Genomic DNA, 17,800 nt, shown 5'->3' on the forward strand with positions numbered 1-17,800 from the left:
CGCCCCTGCCTGTGCTCCTGCCGGCCTCTGCCCCGCATCCCACAGGTGACTGGGATGACGGCTGGGCACCGCTGCAGACTGGGCTTCCCAGGCAGCAGACCAGGGTGTGCAGAAGCTCCGACGGTGTGGCCTGGGCGCTCCCTGCCCCGGCAACGCAGGGACAAGGCCGGCAAGCCCTCACCCAGGGCCCACACAAACGTTCCGGGAGGAATCAAAAGGCGCTTCGCGTGTGGCTCGGTCCCTGTGCCGTGCCTGCCAGCCCCTCTAGAACCGAACCTTCCGTCAGCCTCTCTGCGCTCACGGCTCTTGGCGCAAGCAGAATCCACCCTGAATGTCACCGAACGAGGCGGGAGCCTGCTTCCAGGTCCTGTCCCAGGGACGCCACAGCCCTCCTCGTGTCTAGAGTCTAAGTCCCTGTCGGAGTCGTGGGCCCGGACCTCCCACCAGCGGCTCCCCCGCAGTGAGCCACTGCTCCTGCTCTGTCTGCGGTGGGTGGGAATCCCGCCATGTGCCTGCTGGCCTGGCGCGCTGCACACGGGGAACCAAGCAGAACCTGCTGCCCAGCTTGCGTGAAGGTGGCTTTAGTGAACAACACACCTGCAGGCGTCTGTGAGGCTCCCATGCACCTTGCTGGGTGCAGGGTGATAACCAGCCCTGTCTCCAGTAGGAGCCACTGAGGCCTGGAGGCCTCAGCCTCACGGGAGGAGGGGCTGACTGCCGGCTCTGCTACAGCTTTGGAAAAGCCTGGACCCCCGCCCGCTGAAGCCTGTGTGCCCGGGGCCAAGGCCAGCACGTTCTCCACTGTCGCTGGGTTGGAGGCCGAGCGCATGGAGCTCTCCCAGGTGGGGTCACGCCAAGGGTCCTGCATATCCCAAGGATGTGCCTCGGCACCCCTGTGCCTCCTGGGGAAAAGGCCACAGGCAGCCAAAGCTGCTCCCACACTGGGTGTCCGCTGCCCCAGGACGGGCTCTCCATGGATCCTCGCCCCATGTAAGGCAGGTGGGAAAGGACTGGGAGTCTCCTGGCCCAAGAGCAGAGAAACAGGCCTGCTCCCCTCCCCCCACCTCCAGCCTGGGCTCCCTCCTGCACCCCTCCCTGCCAGATAGCCCACACCTGCCAGTGACCACGAGGAGGGATGCCACCCAAGGCCCCAGATGGGGGCAGCCCTTGAGGCCCTCAGCCTCAGGGACCAGGAGAGGACACACAGCCCCAGGCCCACCCCAAGGCCCAGGCTGGACTGGGGCCACCTGGGGATGGATCCCTGCTTTGGCCCTCCCAGGGGACCCTCCAGTCCCAACCCCACCTGCAGCCCCACAATCACTGCAGACCCAGCCGGAGTCGCCCCGGGTGGCCGCCTCCGCCCCCTGGCTCCCACCGGGCCGTCACCTGGAGTCCCTCCCCGGGTTGGTCTTGCCGGCAGCCTCCTCGCCTGACGAAGAGTCGTCCTCGTCGGACTCCTCGGACTGCAGGTCCTCCACCATGGAGCGCAGGGGTCCTGGGGAGGCGGGGCAGGGAGGGAGGGGAGACAAGGGCAGGGCTCCACTGAGCCTCCAGGGCCCCTCGCCCATGAGGCCACGCAGAGCTTCTTGACACTGGTGACCCCCAAATGCACACGCCCGTCCACCTGGGGGTCCCTGTGCCCATCTCTAAGAACTGCCCCCACACCGGCAGCCACCCGCTTCCCCTAGAACGCCCTGGCTCCCCCACCCCTCCCTACCTTCCTGGCCCTGCTCGCAGGCCTCAGGGGACTGGCCGGCAGTGGGCGCGCAGGGCCCCTCCATTGCTGCAGCCGGAGGAGAACCCCTCCTCTGCTCGGGGCACAGAGATCAGAAGCTCTGCCGAGAGCCCAGGGAGGGCGAGGGAGCCACAGCCTGGCTGGGAAGCTGGGCCTGGGGTCACAGATCTCTCTTCCTGCACCCTACGCCGGCCTGCCCACCCCCTCGGTAATCCCCTCTGCTGCTCCCAGTCCACCGTCCTCCCCTTTCTCCAGAGGCACACGGTTCCAGTCCCCTACAGACGGCATCTTGGTTTATATTCCTGTTACCAAGGCAACAGAGGGACACAAAGCCCTCAATTACCTTAGTCACATGATCCCGCTTCAGTAGGTCCCCCTCCCTTCCCGGCAGATAAGAACACTTGGAGCGAGTGTAGGCTTCAAGGGCCCCATCCCCCAGCCCCCTCGGCAACTGCACGGCTGAATTCCAGGCCAGACTCCCTCCACAACCCCGCACACTCCTCTCCCCCAGCCCCCCTGCAAAGGATTCCAGGCCAAGGGGGAAGGAGGCTCTTGTTCCAATCCAGGAGTGGAAACGCTTTTTGCCTGGGAGTGGGTGCTGGGGTCTGGACTGGGGCCGGGGGCTCAGGGCAGCTCTCCCACTGTGTCCTGCAGGCTGCCTGGTCCCCAGGGCCCTCCCCACTCTGGGGCAGGCTGGTGCAGCCAATGGGCCTATGTCCTTTCCCCAAAAAGCCGCCCCTACTCAGGGTGGCCTGCCTGGAGAGGGAGAGGGCACTCCAAACACTCCGGCAGCAGGAGACCCCGGCCGTCCACAGGCAGCCAGTGCCTCGCTGGCCCTGGGGAGCGGGTGGGATGGGCGGAGGAGGTGACGCCGTCCGTCCATGGTCCCCAGCAGCACAGGGAGAGTTCTGGCCATGGGCAGGGCCCTCACCAGAAGCCCCTCACCAGCCTGGCTCCAGGCACGGGGTGCATGCCAACAGCCACCACAAGGAACAGTGCCCCCGGGCCTGACTGGAGGTCTGGTGACTTGTTCCTGCTTTGCTTTTAAATATAGACTCCCCCAGGCCACCAAAACCCTCCATGTACAGATCTGCAGGGCCCAGCCTGTGCAGGCAGTGGACGCTGAGGAATGCCCATGTGGCCTGAGCTCCAGGCCCTCCCCGGCCCCATCCGTGCCCCCCAGCTGCTCTCCATACACACCTTGGCTGTGGTTCTGGGATGGCTCGAAGTCTGAGTCTGAGCTGGAGTCTGAGCTGGAGCTGGAGTTGGACGGGCTTGACTGGGCAGACTTCACCCAATGGTGGGATGGGCAGGGAGGGGAGAAAGGGAGAGCTGTCACCTTTCAGCAGAGACAAAGGGGGCCCCCTGGCAGCAGCTACGCTGAGTGGGTCTCCCCCAGACACCCCTAGGGTCCCAAGGGTACCCACGTGTGCCGCTGAGAACCCACTAAGGAGCCAGCGGCCAGGCCATGCGCAGCCTATAGCCTCCCGTGCCAGCCCTAGGACACCCGTGGATGTCTGGGTTTCCGGTAGCGCCAGGAGACCGTGTGGACCACGTGGGCTCTCCTGTCTACCCAGGCAGGTGCACAGGGTACTGGGAGGGAGGCTGGGGCAGGGGCTTGAAGTCCCACAGGTGGGTGGGCCTTGCCTTCGTCCAAGAGGGCAGGCATTGACTGGTGTCGCAAAAATGTCTGGAACAGGAAAGCTGGGTGTGGACACTTCTTGTTCTGACCCAGTGCTGTCCGGGGCTCAGGGGTGGCAGAGAGCTCTGTATCCCCACCCATTCGCTGCTCCTACCGCCAGCTGCCCAAGACACTGAAGAGCGTGCGTGCACAGGGGACAGAAGCCATGGGCAAGCCCGGCCCCACCCGCCTCCTCCTCCTGCAGCTGTCCTTCCAGGCTCAGCCACCAGGGGGCAGTAAAAGCCACAACAAGGACACAAGGGGTGGGATGCCAGGACAGAGGGTGACAGTGCAGGGCAGGCGTGTATGGGGCAGAGGCGTAGCTCCTGGGTGGACGGGAGGCAGGCACTGCAGACACCTGCACGGGGAGGGGCCCATTGTTCTGGGCCCACATTTCTGCCAATGAGCTCATCCCAAGGGGTGTGCCAGAGGACATGGCGGGCCCAGGGCAGCCCCCTCACCTTGGGGGCCCGTCTGGTGGAACTAGGTGGCTTGAGCCCCTCAGACCAGTCCCCTCCAGGGTCCTCCCTCCATCAGGAGGAGGCAGCTGGTCTGCTGGATTCTGGCAGGGGCCGCTGCAGCCGCCAGCCATGCAAGGGAAGCCGTGAACGGAGTACTGAGCTGGTGGGACTCAGGACCTTGAGTGCCTGGGAGCCCCCGGCCCCTCCCCTAGCATGTGGAGGAGACAGCCTCCACCCTGCAGAAGGGTCCCCACGAAAGCCCAAGGCCTCCCCAAGCAGCAGGTCCAGACTCACCCGTGCCTGAGAGGGAAGAGGGACTTCCCAAGGGTTTACTGCAGCCCAACCCAGCCCCCTCCTGCCCCTCAAACCAGCCCCTGCCAGCGCCCCTTCCCACCAACACATGGCGCTCCCTGATGAATCATCACTGGGAAAGCCTGCCGTGGTGCCCATCAGTCACTGCCCACTCAGGCTACCTGAGTCCCGGACACATACCCCAGAGCGTCCAGGACCCCTGGCTGGGCCTGCCTGGAGCTGGGTGATGCACAGCCTGGACTTCTGTTCTTGGGGGCCAGGGGTGAGTAAGAGGTGACCGAGAGATGGCCTATTTAACCCCAGCCTTCTAACCAGCAGGCCTTGCTACTCAGAACAAGGCCGTCCTATGTCAGCCTCAGTTTTCCCAGCACCGCCAGCTGCCTGCACACCGAGGCCAAGGCTAGTCCTCCCTTGACCTCCGGATGGAATCCCTGGGGCAGAGGGGTGGGCACCAACCTGGAGGGAGGTGGACTGGAGAAGTATCCAAGGTCCTGGCCCCATATCCCATGCACTTTCTCACTAAAGGTGGAGAGGGGGCAGTTCAGGCGGCCAAAGGAGGCTGCACAAGGTCAGCAGGGATGGAAGCAGAGAGGATGCTGAGCCCCGAGAGGCCCCCAAGCCTGTCCTGGCGCCGTGCCAGACAGAGGAAAGCCAGTCAGGCACACGCATCCCCTTTCCTTCCGCCCAAATCCAAGGGGCAGGGAGGAAAAGAATCCGGAAATGGTCTCAGCCAGAAGAGCCCTAAGGTGGTGTGATCAGAAGGGCCACCGGAGCACGCCCGGGGCTCAGAGGGAGGGCGGAGCAGACTGGGTCCACGACTGACTCCAGATCCCCAAGGGCCAGGGAGACCCCAAGGCAGCAGCTGGAGGACGTGGGAGCTCGGCTCGGGGACTCGGCCCAAAGAGTGGCCCTACGAGGGTGGGCGTGGGCCAGACCCCAGCTGGTGCAGATTCTTCCGATGGCCGGTTCTGGTAGCACAGCCACACACAGCCTCTGGGGAGGAGCAGCCCAAGACGGCCAAGGGGAAGCCAAGGGGCCAGTGGTCTGGAAGGCCGATGTGCTTCTTCACCATAGCAGCCTGGGCTTCGGTGAAGCCCCCGGGGGAAGAGGCGTCAGGGACTCTGTGCTGTTGGGGCCTGGGTCTCACTCCCGCACAGACCTCGGGGCGCTAAGCCGCATTGCTCAAAAGCCTCTCAGCACGCGGGGCGCTCTTCTTCGGCCAGGAGGAAGTCCCAAAGCCTCCTCCAGCAACTCCAGCCTCAAGGCCACCCAGCCACTCTAAGCAGCGGCGTCCGAGGTGGCAGGAAGCTCCCCACAAAATATTCCAGCTGTTTCACAACACTGGTGGCGGGAGCCAGGAGCCAACTCACTCACTGCCGGGGGCCAGGCCGGGTGAGCAGAGCGGAGTGGAGCGGGCCGTGGAGCTGCCTTGCCGCTGCCCAGCGTGCTGCACACCCAGCCCCAGGTACCAGAAGACCTCGCCTGGAGATGCCTGGCCTGGGACTGCATGTCACTCAGTACCTATCCCCAACCCTGGGGTAGAAGGGAGGGGACAAGCGCCTGCCCAGGGCTGTGGTTGCTGCACAGGCAGAGAAGGGGTCAGGCTCGGTGCCCAGCAGGCACCGCCAGGCCCTCCCACAGCTGGGAGGGCTACTGAGATGGGCCGGGACTTCTGGAAGGTGGCACCGGCCCCCCCACCGCCTCAGGGTCATAGCAGATGGTGCCGTCTTCAGCCACTGCCAAGCCATGGGAGCACCGGGCACTCAGCCTTGCCAGCCCATGTGTCTATGAGCCAGGATGCACTGTTACCCAGAGGCTGGACCGTCACCCCCAGCCAGCCCCACCACCTCCATGAGGGCCCTGGGGGCAATGAGCGCTGCCCACATAACCCCCTCGGGCTTTGTGGCTGGGACCTGCATTCAAAGCCCCAGCGGCTTTTCAAAGCCTCAGCAACCCAGAGGCAAAGCTTCCTTGAGGGCAAGCCGGACCCACAAAAGGCCCCTGAGGGCTGGGGCTGGCAACAGAGGTAAATGGCCCAACCCTCATCCATCCATTCATTCATTTTTACCGGGCCCAGTGTCTGTTGTCTAAATGCCAAGTGCCAGATAATAGCGCTGGAAGACACCACCGCCGTCCCAGGCCCCAAACAGGGTCTGGCCACAAGACCATGAGGTGGCTACCAGCTCTTGCGGCTCAAGTCATGTCTGATGCAGTCCTCTGAGAATGTCCGGACGCTGTGCTGTGGGACAAGCCAGCAGCCTCTCATGGTGACAAGGCCGGTCCCTGACAGGGGTCCTCGTTCCAAGCTCAGACACTGGTGGGGCCAGATGTGAGTATCCCCAAGTCACAGCTGTGTGCGATGGGTGTGGGCAGGAGGGATGCTCTTGACCCCACCAGCCACCTAAATAGGGAGCCGGGCACGGACCTGTTGCTCCTCATGGCTAGGGGCTGTCTGAAGCCCTCATCATTAACCTCCAGACAAGGGTGAGTCTCCCAGATGCCCTATTGGCAGAGCTCCAGGCCGGGCTGACCACGCCATGGTCAGAGCAACCATGAGACACGCTTGCCCACTGGCACCAGAGCGGCCAAGACCCGGGCCCATGCAGGGGGCTGCTGGAGGAGGGGAGCTCAGAACCTCAGGACCACACCATCATGCTTTACCAGAGCCACCCACAAATGCCACCGAGGAGGCGAGGAGGGACTCCTCACGAGGCAGACTTTATCACCTGACAGACAGGGAAACCGAAGCCTAGTGAGGCGTGGAGGCCCCAGGTTACAAGAAGCCAGTGGGAGGAGCAGCTGGTGAGACCTGAGGTCCTGGCTCAGATCCCACCTCCTTCCGCTGTTCCAGAAGGGAGGCGGGTCCCACCACACTGCCTGCACCTGGCTGCCCTGCCCCCAGCACTCACTCACCTCGGACTTGAAGGAGGCCTCGTCCTCTGAGTTGGACTCCTCCACCTCCAGGGCCTTTTTGGCCTCCCGGGGCTCACTCTCGGCCTTCACCTTCTCCCCTCTGGTGCTGCTCTTGTCCTTGGCCGGCTTCTTGTCCGAGAAGGAGGAGGAGGAGGAGGTGCGGGGCGAGGTGCCTGGAGCACTCCGGGACCCCTTCGAGCTGCTCTTCTTCTGCTTCTTGGCGCTGGGCTTTGGCGAGTCGGCGGTGGCCGGCCGCTTGCTGGAAGCCCGGGGTGGGGGTGGGGGTGGGGGTGGGGGCCCACCCTTGGGGGACGTGCTTTCCAGCTTGGTCTCTTTCAGGGCCATCTTGGGTTCCTTGAAGGCAGCCTTGGGCGGTGGCGCCTTCTCCTCCTTGGGCAGCCGGCCCTCGCCCAGCTTCCGCGAGGTGTCCTTGGAGCTTTTGGCCTGCTCACGCTCCAGCTCCTTGGAGGAGCTCTTGCTCTCGGAGTCTTTGCGGGGCCGCTCCCGGTGCTCCTTGGTCACCTTGTGTGGCTTGGAGGTCTTGCTGCTCTCCTTGTTGGCGTCCTGCAAGGCCAAGAGCAGGGAGGGCAAGGGGAGAGACAAGGTCACGTGGCATTGCGGGGCGCCCTGCTCCGCCACCCCTGACCCCTACAAAGCATAATCCACCTGATTCAGCCTCAGCTAGAGAAACTCTTCCATAAAGCAAAAAGGTAAGGCAGTAGGTGAGAGTTTTACATGGAGCTGTCCCTTTAAACTACTAGGAAGTGTCAGCTGGTCCCCGGCAGCTGCAGGCTAAGATTCCCCTCAGAATTGAACTGACATTCCCTGAGGGATTCAAGAAGAGCACAGGGTGAGTCAGGCAGAGCATGGCCACTTCGCCCGCACCCGCCCGCCCTAACACCTCACAGCTGGGCCTGGGCAAGTCAGAGGCTGCGCTGGCACTGCGGGGTGCTGGCGGGCACTGGACGCAGCCCTGCCCCTCATCTCAGCCTCCTTCGCCCAGCACTCATGCTACGTGCGGGAAGCTCAGTGCTTCCTGCTCGGTCACTCACGGGCTTCCTTTCTGAGCCCCGTCGGCCCCTCTCCCCAGGACTCCACACCCCCAGGGTCCAGCCAGCTCAGGCCTGGCTTCGGGAAGCCAACTGCTGAGCGCCCACTGGGTCCCTGGGTCCCAGGTACCGCACGGAGCAAACAGCTCCCGGGCTTCTCAGAAGGGAAACCGCCTGGGTCGCTTTCCTAAAACACCGAGGACATTCCTAGGTCTCTGCCTCGGAAACCCCGGGGGTTTAGGGTGGAGCTGGACTCGGGGGCTGATCCCATTGAGGACAGAGGTAAGATGATGGCAGAGAGCAGCAGGACACAGGCCCAGGAGTGAGCCCAGCTCTGTGACCTGCACACCACAGGACCCAGGCAGAAAACCGAAGCCATCTGTGCCTGCTTCCTCGAGGAAGGGCAAGGCCACCACCTCACTGGGCAATGGCACAGGCCAGGCTGGCAGCGAGCACACAGTGTGGGGGCTGCCAGCACCATGGCTGAGTTGGCTCAGCCCGCGGCCAGCCTGGGCGCTGCTGCTTGTATGCTGTATGTTTCTGCCCTACACCCCATCCGATAGGCACACTGCCAGCACTCCCCACGGTGGGAGCCACGCCTTCACCTTCCCTACAGAGACCCTGTATCACCCCACGCACCCAGGAGCACTGAGCAGGCTTCTCTGCTGTTAGCCACCAGGGGCTCCACCCTTGCTAGGAAAGGAGCAGCGGCCAGCAGGTGCACGGCGGCCCCAGAGCCTGTCCAGACAATTGTGTACCTGGCCTCCCGGCACAGAAGCCAGCAGCAGCCAGATCCCGAAGGCCCTGGGGAGGGGCTCCGGGAGCAGTGAGAGTACCAGGGAGGAGGGGGGCCACGCTTCACAGATCCCCCAAAGACATGCGGGAGGGGCAGGCTGGGTAGAGGCCTCTGAAAACCACCTGAGTGTCCAGGGACAGACTCCTCCCAGCAAAAAACCACAGGGCAGACACAGCTGCTGCCCCATGGCCAGTCTCCTGGGCTGGCCATCTTCTTGCAAAGCCACAGCCCACATTCAGTGTCAAAGGCTCAGGAACAGTACCAGTGGCTGTGAGGCCTCTGCCACCTCCTTGGAGAAAGGGCAAGCCCTGTGCCCAGCCTGGCTCTTCCACCTGGGACAGCGGGAGTGCCCCCAGAATCCCCCCAGCTGGCCTGGGCCATGCAGGGCTATCAGGGGGTGTCCCCTTGGGAGCTGGGGTGTGGAATGGGGCTGTGCTCCACAGCAAGCTACTACCCAAGGAGGGAGGTGTGAGAGACTGCAATGCCACCTGCCACCCTGGCCTCTTCCAGCAGGGGACACACGCCCAGCTGGGCTGCAGGAGCTCAGCCGGGGTCACAGCCACCAAGGGCAGAATGAGAGCAAACTCCAAAGGCACGTCAGAGGCCCCTAACACAGGTCTCACTGTGTGCCCCTGGCCTGGAGTCAGCTGAGCCGCCATTGCCACCAGGGCCTGCCTGGCTAGAAGGAGTCTTCCCACACAGGAGCACAGGCACCCGACACCACAGGTTCTGAAATTAGGCACTACGATTTTTTTGTTTGTTTGTTTGTTTGCTTTTGTTTTGAGACGGAGTCTTGTTATGTCGCCCAGGCTGGAGTGCAGTGGTGCGATCTCGGCTCACTGCAAGCTCCGCCTCCCGGGTTCATGCCATTCTCCTGCCTCAGCCTCCCGAGTAGCTGGGATTACAGGCGCCCGCCACCACGCCCGGCTAACTTTTTGTATTTTTAGTAGAGACGGGGTTTCACCGTGTTAGCCAGGATGGTCTCCATCTCCTGACCTCGTGATCCGAATTAGGCACTAAATTTTAAGCATAACATGAGCACTCTCCAGGGTGAGAAGCCATCAAAATCACGTTTGCAAGGTTGTCTGCGAACCTCCACGGGAAAGAGCAACCAGGCCAAGTACCTGACATTACATGGGTGACACCTGGCTCCCTGCAGCTGCTGCCAGGCAAGGCTGTGAGAGGGTCCTGCCCCCTCTATGAGGCTGTGGTTCCTGCCTGCCACGCCACTCTTGGGTGGTGGCTGTGAAGTGGGGACAAAACCCCAGGACTGAGTCCCCTAAAGCTGCCGCAGCTGCACTCACCAGCAGTCCCCCGGCCTGGGGATTCTGATGGGCAAGGCCCCAAAAGGCCCACCTATCCCATCTCTCTGGGCTCAGGGAGCCCTGCTGAGGCCCCTCTGCTTGGAGCACATGGCCCGGCCACTCACTCTCCAGGCAGAGAGCCAGTGACCAAAGGAGGTCGCTCAGCTGGGGAAGAGGCCGGTTCATGGGCCTGTGCCACCCAGGGCTCCATGGTGGGGCCGACAGCTCATTCGCCAGGCTAGGGCTCGGGGCAGAGGGGCTTTCTCAGAATGCCCTCAGCAGACAAGTGCCTCGGCAGGACCCCATGCTGCCCGATGCTCCCCACAGATGCCGCCTACATCTCTCCACCCGGTAGCTGGAGAAGCCTCCAGGGACGGAGAGGGTGGAGCCCACAGGCCTCCTAAGCCTGGTGGATAAACTCACCAGCTGGGGCCTCCAGGGGTCTCAGAGACACTCCGGCAAAAGATACCACCAGCAGCCCCAGCAGACGCAGCCCCGCCAGCCCCAGGGAGGGCACCTCTCCAACCAAGAAGTCCTTTCTACGCAGGGTTTTAGGTGGCTTGAAGTGACCCGTACAGAAGAAATCTTGTTGTGGTAGCTGAGAGGGACACTGCCAAGATCCCCAGCAAGAGCTTTTCCTTCATTGAGCCTCCACAAGGCTCAGGGAGAGATAGGCCAGGAGGCCGAGTGGGGAGACCCCAGGGTTCCGTTTCCTACTCAGAGAATCTGGCAAGTCTGACGATTTCTAAGACCTGCTGGCCTTGGGGAAAGAGCCAGAAAGACCTGCCTGGGTGCTGCGGTTCTTCTCCCGCATGGCTGACGGTGAGTCTGTGAGGCAGCTGGAGAGCCCTGCCTGTCCTGCCTGGGATGGCTGGGCCCACACGCAGGGCCTGGCAGACAAGTGAGGTGAGGAGAAAGGAGAGGACCGGTGGAGAGATGTGTGGGTGGCAGGCACCGGGCAGCTGCCCCGAGGGCCCGTGCCGCTCAGCCTCCAGGAACGGCTGTGCTGAGTGGGCAGCTACAGAGGACTGGGGCGTGCTCAGGGGTTAAAGGGACACTGTGATGCCATCAAAGGGCTTTCTAGCTTGTCTTCTGAATTGCTGCTCAGGGATGGTTTAGAGAGAGAAGCCTCAGAAAGGCCGAGTGCCACCCACCTGACCGACTGGGCCGAGATGAGACCGTAAAAAGTTTCTTCCACACTGAAATTCAGCTGGCACCCACCTGGCTTCCCCTGCCCTTCCCCCACGAAACTCTGCAGTGAGCCATAGCCCGAGATGCAAAGCCTGGCATAGCCAAGGGCAGAAGTAGCCCCAGCTGCCCTCAGGAGGGTTGAAGAGGTGGGTAGCTGCAGCCTAGACAGAGACACTCTACCCAGCGGCCGCCCCAACAGCCTTCGGCGAAGGTCTCAGGGCTTCAGGCCGAGCAGTCCTGGGGCCCTGCCATCACTTGGCAGAACGGGAGAGGACTAGGCAGGGTCTCTGGCCTCAAGATGAACAGGGCAAAGAGCCCATGATCACGGGCTTATTCCTGAAATCCTAGGGAAGCGGCAGTGCGCAGCGAGGGGTGTGCAGAGAGCTCAAAGAGGAAGACGCCAAGGGAGCGAGCAGGTGCGGAAGGCCCAGCCCAGTGGAGGGAGGGCGCCGGGGCCAGACCCACCACAGCTGGGCCCCGGCGCTCCCACGCGACTGGGCCTTCCGCCTCACTAACCTTGGAGCCGTGGGATGGTTTGGTCTTCTTGGGGTCAGAGAAGGCAGAGAGTGGAATTGTGGGTAACATGGGGTAGTCGGGACTGGGCCTGGACACCGTGTCTGCTCCTTCGGGCATTACCATCACCTAGTGACAGAGAAGAGACAGTCATTATCGATGGGCAGGGGGCAGGGGGCCCACACGGGCCGGGCTGAAGGTGGTGGGGCTTCCCTCTGCAGGAGGGGAGAAGGGAGAGCCTGAGCGCTTTCCCGAAAGAATCCCAGGTGCTTCCCTGCTGGGGACTGGGTGCTGAGCACGCAGAAGAAGCAGGCATGGGTGGGGAGCGAAGAAAAGCCCAGGGTCCCAGGATGGCTGGGACCAGGTGGGGCCACGCGGCCTTCCGGGAACAGTGGACCGGAGGGCTGGCCCAAGAAGACTTGCGGAGCACACTGAGAATCATGAGAAGGCAGCTGCGGCCGAAGCCTGACCTACGCGCTTAGGTTTAGGGGGAACAGCTCAGAAGTGTGAGAGGCCAGCCAGATGCCTGCGAAAGGCAGGCAGCAACTTCCCGGGGTGCACATGGGTGCAACTCCAGTGGGTCCCACGTGCCCGGAGAATGAGCCGTCCTTGGTGTGCGGTGACTGCAGCGGACCCGAACAGGGCAAGAGCACCCAGGCTGAGGCCGAGACCAAGGCAGACGACCTGTGCCTACTGGGGGGGTCTCTCTGCAAAGCAGGCCCGAGTGAGCCAGCGAGCCTGCAGCATGGGGCACCTGCTCCTGCGCTCCATCAGAGGCTACGGATGACGAAAGTTCTGGGGTCCTTCCAGGAGGGCTCCCAGGAAACACCTGCTGTGCAGGGGGAAGCTCGGAGCAAGGTCTTGAGATATCAACACTGCGAGTTAAGGAATGCCACCACCACAGAGAAAAGCCTCCCAGATGGCCGCAAGAGAGAACAAAAGAAGAAAATACACTTCAAAAAAAAAGTATTGAAGTCGGTAGAAGAAGCACTGCTAACAGCCTTGAGCACCTGCAGTTCCCGGCCAGCCAAGCCTTTCATCTAAGGACACTGATGTCATGCGGCCATGGGGACATTGGCTGAAAAGAGGCCATGGGCCCCTAGGGTCCCTGCTCTGAGCTGCTTCTCAGAGCCTGTCTGACCATGATAGCTCAGCACTGACAGCATGTGTGCCCCAGCCGTCCCTGAAAACACGCCACGGGAGGCCCTCCACACTCTGGAGCACGCACATCACGCAAGCTCACGGAGGAGCCACAGAAGGCTGCCATGCACAGACGGGCTTGCCAGGAGGCTGAGCCCCATTCGCTCTCAGGCCCATTCCTTCGACTCTCATGGTAATTTACCTTCTTTCCCCTCAAAACAATGCCCTAGACTGACTGTTTCAGGATCACGCAGTGTCTCGCTCTAGCACAGACCGTTGAGAAAAAGGAACTGGGAACTGAACACGCAGATGACTCCCACCTCCAACAAGTGCTGCCAGGAGGACCAGGCTCCCCGGCGGAAACACAGACCCTCAGCCATGGGGGCAGAGACAAGACACGGTCCTAAGGGGCACAAGGCTGGAACGGCGGAAAGTCCTACCCTCTCTCCCATTACCGATCTCCAAGCAACCCCCAGTGAGAGGAGCAGAGAAAGCAGCGCTCGCTGACACAGAAACCAGCCCCTCCTCCCGGGTCTCCCAGCACCCACGGCGGGGGGCTGGGGTCACCTGCTGCTAGACGGCCACTGCCTGGTCCCGGGAAGCCCCGAGAGGAGCCCCTGCCACCGAGGCCTCCGGCTGCTCCTAAGGCTGAGAGCCCCACTCCAGGGCAAGCCCTGGAGGCCTGGAAAGTTCCTGCCCAGACAGCCAGCTCCCCAGACAGCCCACCCTCAGAGGGCAGAGCGCCCAGCGCCTGGGGCAGAGACCCCCCACGGCGCCTGCTTCAGCCTGCGCGTCTCTCTGTGGAGCCAGCGCTCCCTCCTGACTGGCCCTTCCTCCCAGCCTTGCCCCGCGCCTCCTCCCCGCCCCTGGCTTTTATGTGTTGAGACGATGCCCTCAGAGCCTTCATCGCTGTGGAGCAAAGGAAGCCGCCTCCCACAGGGAGCCAGGTCCTGGCTGCAGCCCAGAGCGGCCCAGGGAACGCCACTTCCCACAGCCACGCCACCACGGAACCTCCGGGGACGCCCAAAAACACCTACTGCAAACGTGGTGAAAACACCTGGCCATGAAAGAAGGTGGAAAAGCGGAGCCAGGAGGGCGCTGGGACCCAGCCCTCACATCCTCAGGCCACCCAGCACTCAGCCACGCCATCCACATAGGCCCACGCCGGCACTGCCCTCCCCGGATCAGAACCACAAGCAGGGCTTCACAAGGATCACAGCAGGACTCACTCAAGCTTCTACATGGACAGACGCCTCCTTCTTCTTAGGAGAACGACGGCCACCAAGGACCTGACCATGCCCCATGAGGAGGAAGGAGGACTCCCCAGCCTGACACCCACAGCCACGGTGCCCCAAATCCACTCAGGAGGCGACCCACCCCACCCGCATACCCCACACGTCATACATGCCACATACACACCTGACACATTCACATACTCCCCATAACACACGTCACACCATACGTGCGTGACACACCACACACTTCCCGCAAGTGACACGACACACACGCCATGCACACACCATACATGACACAGCAGACAGCGTATGTACATACCACACAACACACACACACGCCCCACACCCGTGACACCACACACCACACCCCTACATGCCACACATGCCACACACTGTACATGCCACACCCCACACATACACACGACACACACCCCATACCACACATGCCACTCACACCATACACGAGACACATGCCACACACAACACACGTACATACACATGACACACCACACACCGCACACGACACACAACACGCCACCCCAGCCCGCTCCATCACAGGCTCAGGCTGGCACCCAGGCAAAGGCTCTGTGGCCCTGGGCCCTGAAGGTGGCATTGCTGTTCTGTGACCAGGCCTCAGCCTGCACGTCCCTCCCTCCACGCCCCCCTCCTCCATAACCACCACCAGCCCTGCGCCCACCCTGTTGCCAAGAGCCCTCGTGGGGAACTCTGAGCCCCCACAGGGTCCGGAGGGCTCGACTCCAGCCACCGCATGGGGGTCCCGGCCACACGACTCCTGGAGAGCCCTGGTCCCAGAGCTGGCACTGTCGTCTGGCCTCCCGAAGTCAGAGGTGATGGCGATGCGCACGGCAGGGGCCCTGTGCGGAGGCCCTGCCCAGCTAGTTACAAGCCAGCTCCAGGCCCAGCCACGCGGTCAGACCAGCCTCGCGCCCATCCCTTCCCAGCACTTCCTGCAGGAAGGTGCTAATTACCCATGGCCACCCAGAAGCACAGGGTGACCAGCAACGAGTCACCTGCAGCCACCACGCCCCGGCACAGGTTGTGGAGCTCCCAGGTCCCCTCCAGCTCTGCTGGGTGCTGCCGTGTGACCTGCGCCTTGGGTCTCGGCCCCCAGCACCGACACCTCTGGCTGGGCACAGACGGCCGCAGCAAAGTAGCCTCGGTGGAGCGGCCCCTTGGCGGGCAGGGGCGGGGCACACTCACCCCGCCGGCCCGCAGGAGCTTGTACCGGAACTCCGTGGTGGGGTTGTTGAAGGTGAGCTTCTCGCAGCGCAGGTGGTTCACGGGCGGGTTGCCTTCCAGGTTCAGGAACAGGTCGTAGGTGAAGCAGACCTTCCTCGGCTCCTCCTGAAACAGAGAAAACAAGAAAGTCTGCATCAGAGGGTGGCCGTGGTGCAGGGACACAGCTCCCCATTGGCCCTGGTCCTCCCCTCTCCCTCACTGGGCCTCTGTTCCCCTCCCTCCGATTTGCGCCCACTTCTCTCTCAGGGCACCTCCTGCCCTGCCCTTATTCAAAATCGACCAGCTTACTATGTGCAGCTAACTGGGTCTTGCAGGCCCCATGGCAGAAAGAAAGCTCATTCATAGCCATGCTCTCGGACTGTTATGGGAAACATGTACCCCCTTCAACCCTCACAGCGCCACTGACAGACAGGGAAACCGACGCACAGACACCAACTAACACGTGGCAGCACTGAGACCTGCCCCAGGCCTCTGAGGCCCACAATCTCACCACCTCTATTCCCCACTTCCTTTGCAGCCAGGGCCAAGCCCGACAGACGCAGGACACAGGACACAGACTCAAACGACAGCACAGCACCCAGAGGGGGCAAAAGTACAAGGTCACGACCCAGTTTCCAGGAGGCTCTGTCCACTTTGGGTGCCGCCCCGCACCCTCGCCACCCCAGAAGACAGGGACGCTCGCCTGGCATGGGGCAGGCGCTGATGGATTTTCCGCACGAAGGTGTGAGGAGTTGACAGGGTGGCCTGGAAAAGGGCTGTGAGTGAGGGGCTGTGATGAATACAGAAAGGCCAGGAGGGCTCAGGGCAGGCAGGCTTGCAGGAAGGAGCTGTCTGCACGGGCTCCTGTGGAGGCCTAGCCACATGTGCAGGGGCTGTGTTTCTGTGAACCTTGAAATTTCGAAGCAAGACATTTTTTTTTTTGAGATGGAGTCTTGCTCTGTTGCCCAGGCTGGAGTGCAGTGGCGCGATCTCGGCTCACTGCAAGCTCCACCTCCCTGGTTCATGCCTGGAGCCTCCCAAGCAGCTGGGACTACAGGCGCCCGCCACCACGTCTGGCTAATTTTTTGTATTTTCAGTAAAGACGGGGTTTCACCATGTTAACCAGGATGGTCTCCATCTCCTGACCTCGTGACCCACCCGCCTCAGCCTCCCAAAGTGCTGGGATTACAGGTGTGAGCCACCGCGCCCAGCTGAAGCAAGACAATTTCATCTGCTTTTCCTTAAGAACCCTGCCCCATCCCAAATGATGTAAGCCACAGGTCCCAGGGGAGTGTGGGAAAACCGCACTATGACAAGCACGAATGTCACACGGAAGAAGGGAGGTTTTCATGGAAACAACGTGCATGGGCCGGGCGCGGTGGCTCACGCCTGTAACCCAGAACTCTGGGAGGTTGAGGCAGACAGATCACTTGAGGTCAGGAGTTTGAGACCAGCCTGGGCTACGTGGCGAAACCCTGTCTCCACTAAAAATACAAAAATTAGCCGAGCATGGTGGTAGGAGCCTGTAATCCCAGCTACTCGGGAGACTGAGGCAGGAGAATCACTTGAATCCGGTAGGCGGAGGTTGCAGTGAGCTAAGATTGCACCACTGCACTCCAGCCTGGGCGACAGAGAAAGACTCTGTCTGAAAAACAAACAAACAAACAAACAAGCAAACAAACATGCAGGCTCATGTCCTAACATTATGGGCAGCTGGTGCTTGACAAGGGTGACGACACCACTCAATGGGGACTGAGGAGTCTCTTCAACCAATGGTGCTGGGACAACTGGATACCCACCCGGGGGAGAATGGTGGTGGCCCTACTCCACCCACACACAGAAAACAACTCAAAATGGATCAGAGACCTGGACGTAAGCACTAACGCCACATAGCTCTCAGAAGAAAATACAGGTATCAATCACGACACTGCATTAGGCAATTGTTTCTTATAATACAACACCAAAAGCACAGGCAACTAAGGAAAATTAGATCACGTGAACTTCGGAAACATTTCAAAATTTTGGCCCAGGCATCGTGGTTTATGCCTGCAATCCCAGCACTTTGGGAGGCTGAGGCAAATGCAGAGACATGGATGAGTTGGTACCTTGGCGGGTGGGAAGTGCAGGAGTGGCTCTAACAGACACAGGGTTTCTTTTGGGGGTGATGAAAATATGCTGGAATTTAAAACTTGTGATGATTGCACAACACTGTGAATGTACTAAAACCACCA

General features: G+C 61.9%; 1 protein-coding gene across 6 annotated transcripts in view, besides 2 other annotated features; it reads right to left on the reverse strand.

Moving 5' to 3' along the window:
* MLLT1 (MLLT1 super elongation complex subunit) overlaps positions 1–17,800 on the reverse strand; it is a 69,595-nt gene that overhangs the window by 4,638 nt on the left and 47,157 nt on the right. For 4 of the 6 annotated variants that reach the window (NM_005934.4, XM_011528021.1, XM_011528022.2 and 1 more), the window contains exons 4-8: positions 15,552–15,695; positions 11,959–12,084; positions 7,103–7,666; positions 2,936–3,023; positions 1,387–1,495 (exon numbers count right to left, since the gene is read on the reverse strand). In NM_005934.4, the coding sequence (NP_005925.2) occupies positions 1,387–1,495; positions 2,936–3,023; positions 7,103–7,666; positions 11,959–12,084; positions 15,552–15,695 (1,031 nt within the window). The remainder of the gene's footprint in view (positions 1–1,386; positions 1,496–2,935; positions 3,024–7,102; positions 7,667–11,958; positions 12,085–15,551; positions 15,696–17,800) is intronic. The other 2 variants (XM_047438846.1, XM_011528023.1) reach the window with 1 other exon arrangement.
* Positions 1,724–2,638: an enhancer, noted in NCBI's record as "H3K27ac-H3K4me1 hESC enhancer chr19:6216753-6217667 (GRCh37/hg19 assembly coordinates)". NCBI's record gives its function as "activates a minimal SCP1, AML or CMV promoter by ChIP-STARR-seq in primed H9 embryonic stem cells {active_cell/tissue: H9 hESC(primed)}" and the evidence as "EXISTENCE:reporter gene assay evidence [ECO:0000049][PMID:30033119]".
* Positions 12,050–12,715: an enhancer, noted in NCBI's record as "H3K4me1 hESC enhancer chr19:6227079-6227744 (GRCh37/hg19 assembly coordinates)". NCBI's record gives its function as "activates a minimal SCP1, AML or CMV promoter by ChIP-STARR-seq in naive H9 embryonic stem cells {active_cell/tissue: H9 hESC(naive)}" and the evidence as "EXISTENCE:reporter gene assay evidence [ECO:0000049][PMID:30033119]".

Source organism: Homo sapiens, chromosome 19, assembly GCF_000001405.40.
Source record: "Homo sapiens chromosome 19, GRCh38.p14 Primary Assembly".
Classification (NCBI taxonomy): Eukaryota; Metazoa; Chordata; class Mammalia; order Primates; family Hominidae; genus Homo; species Homo sapiens.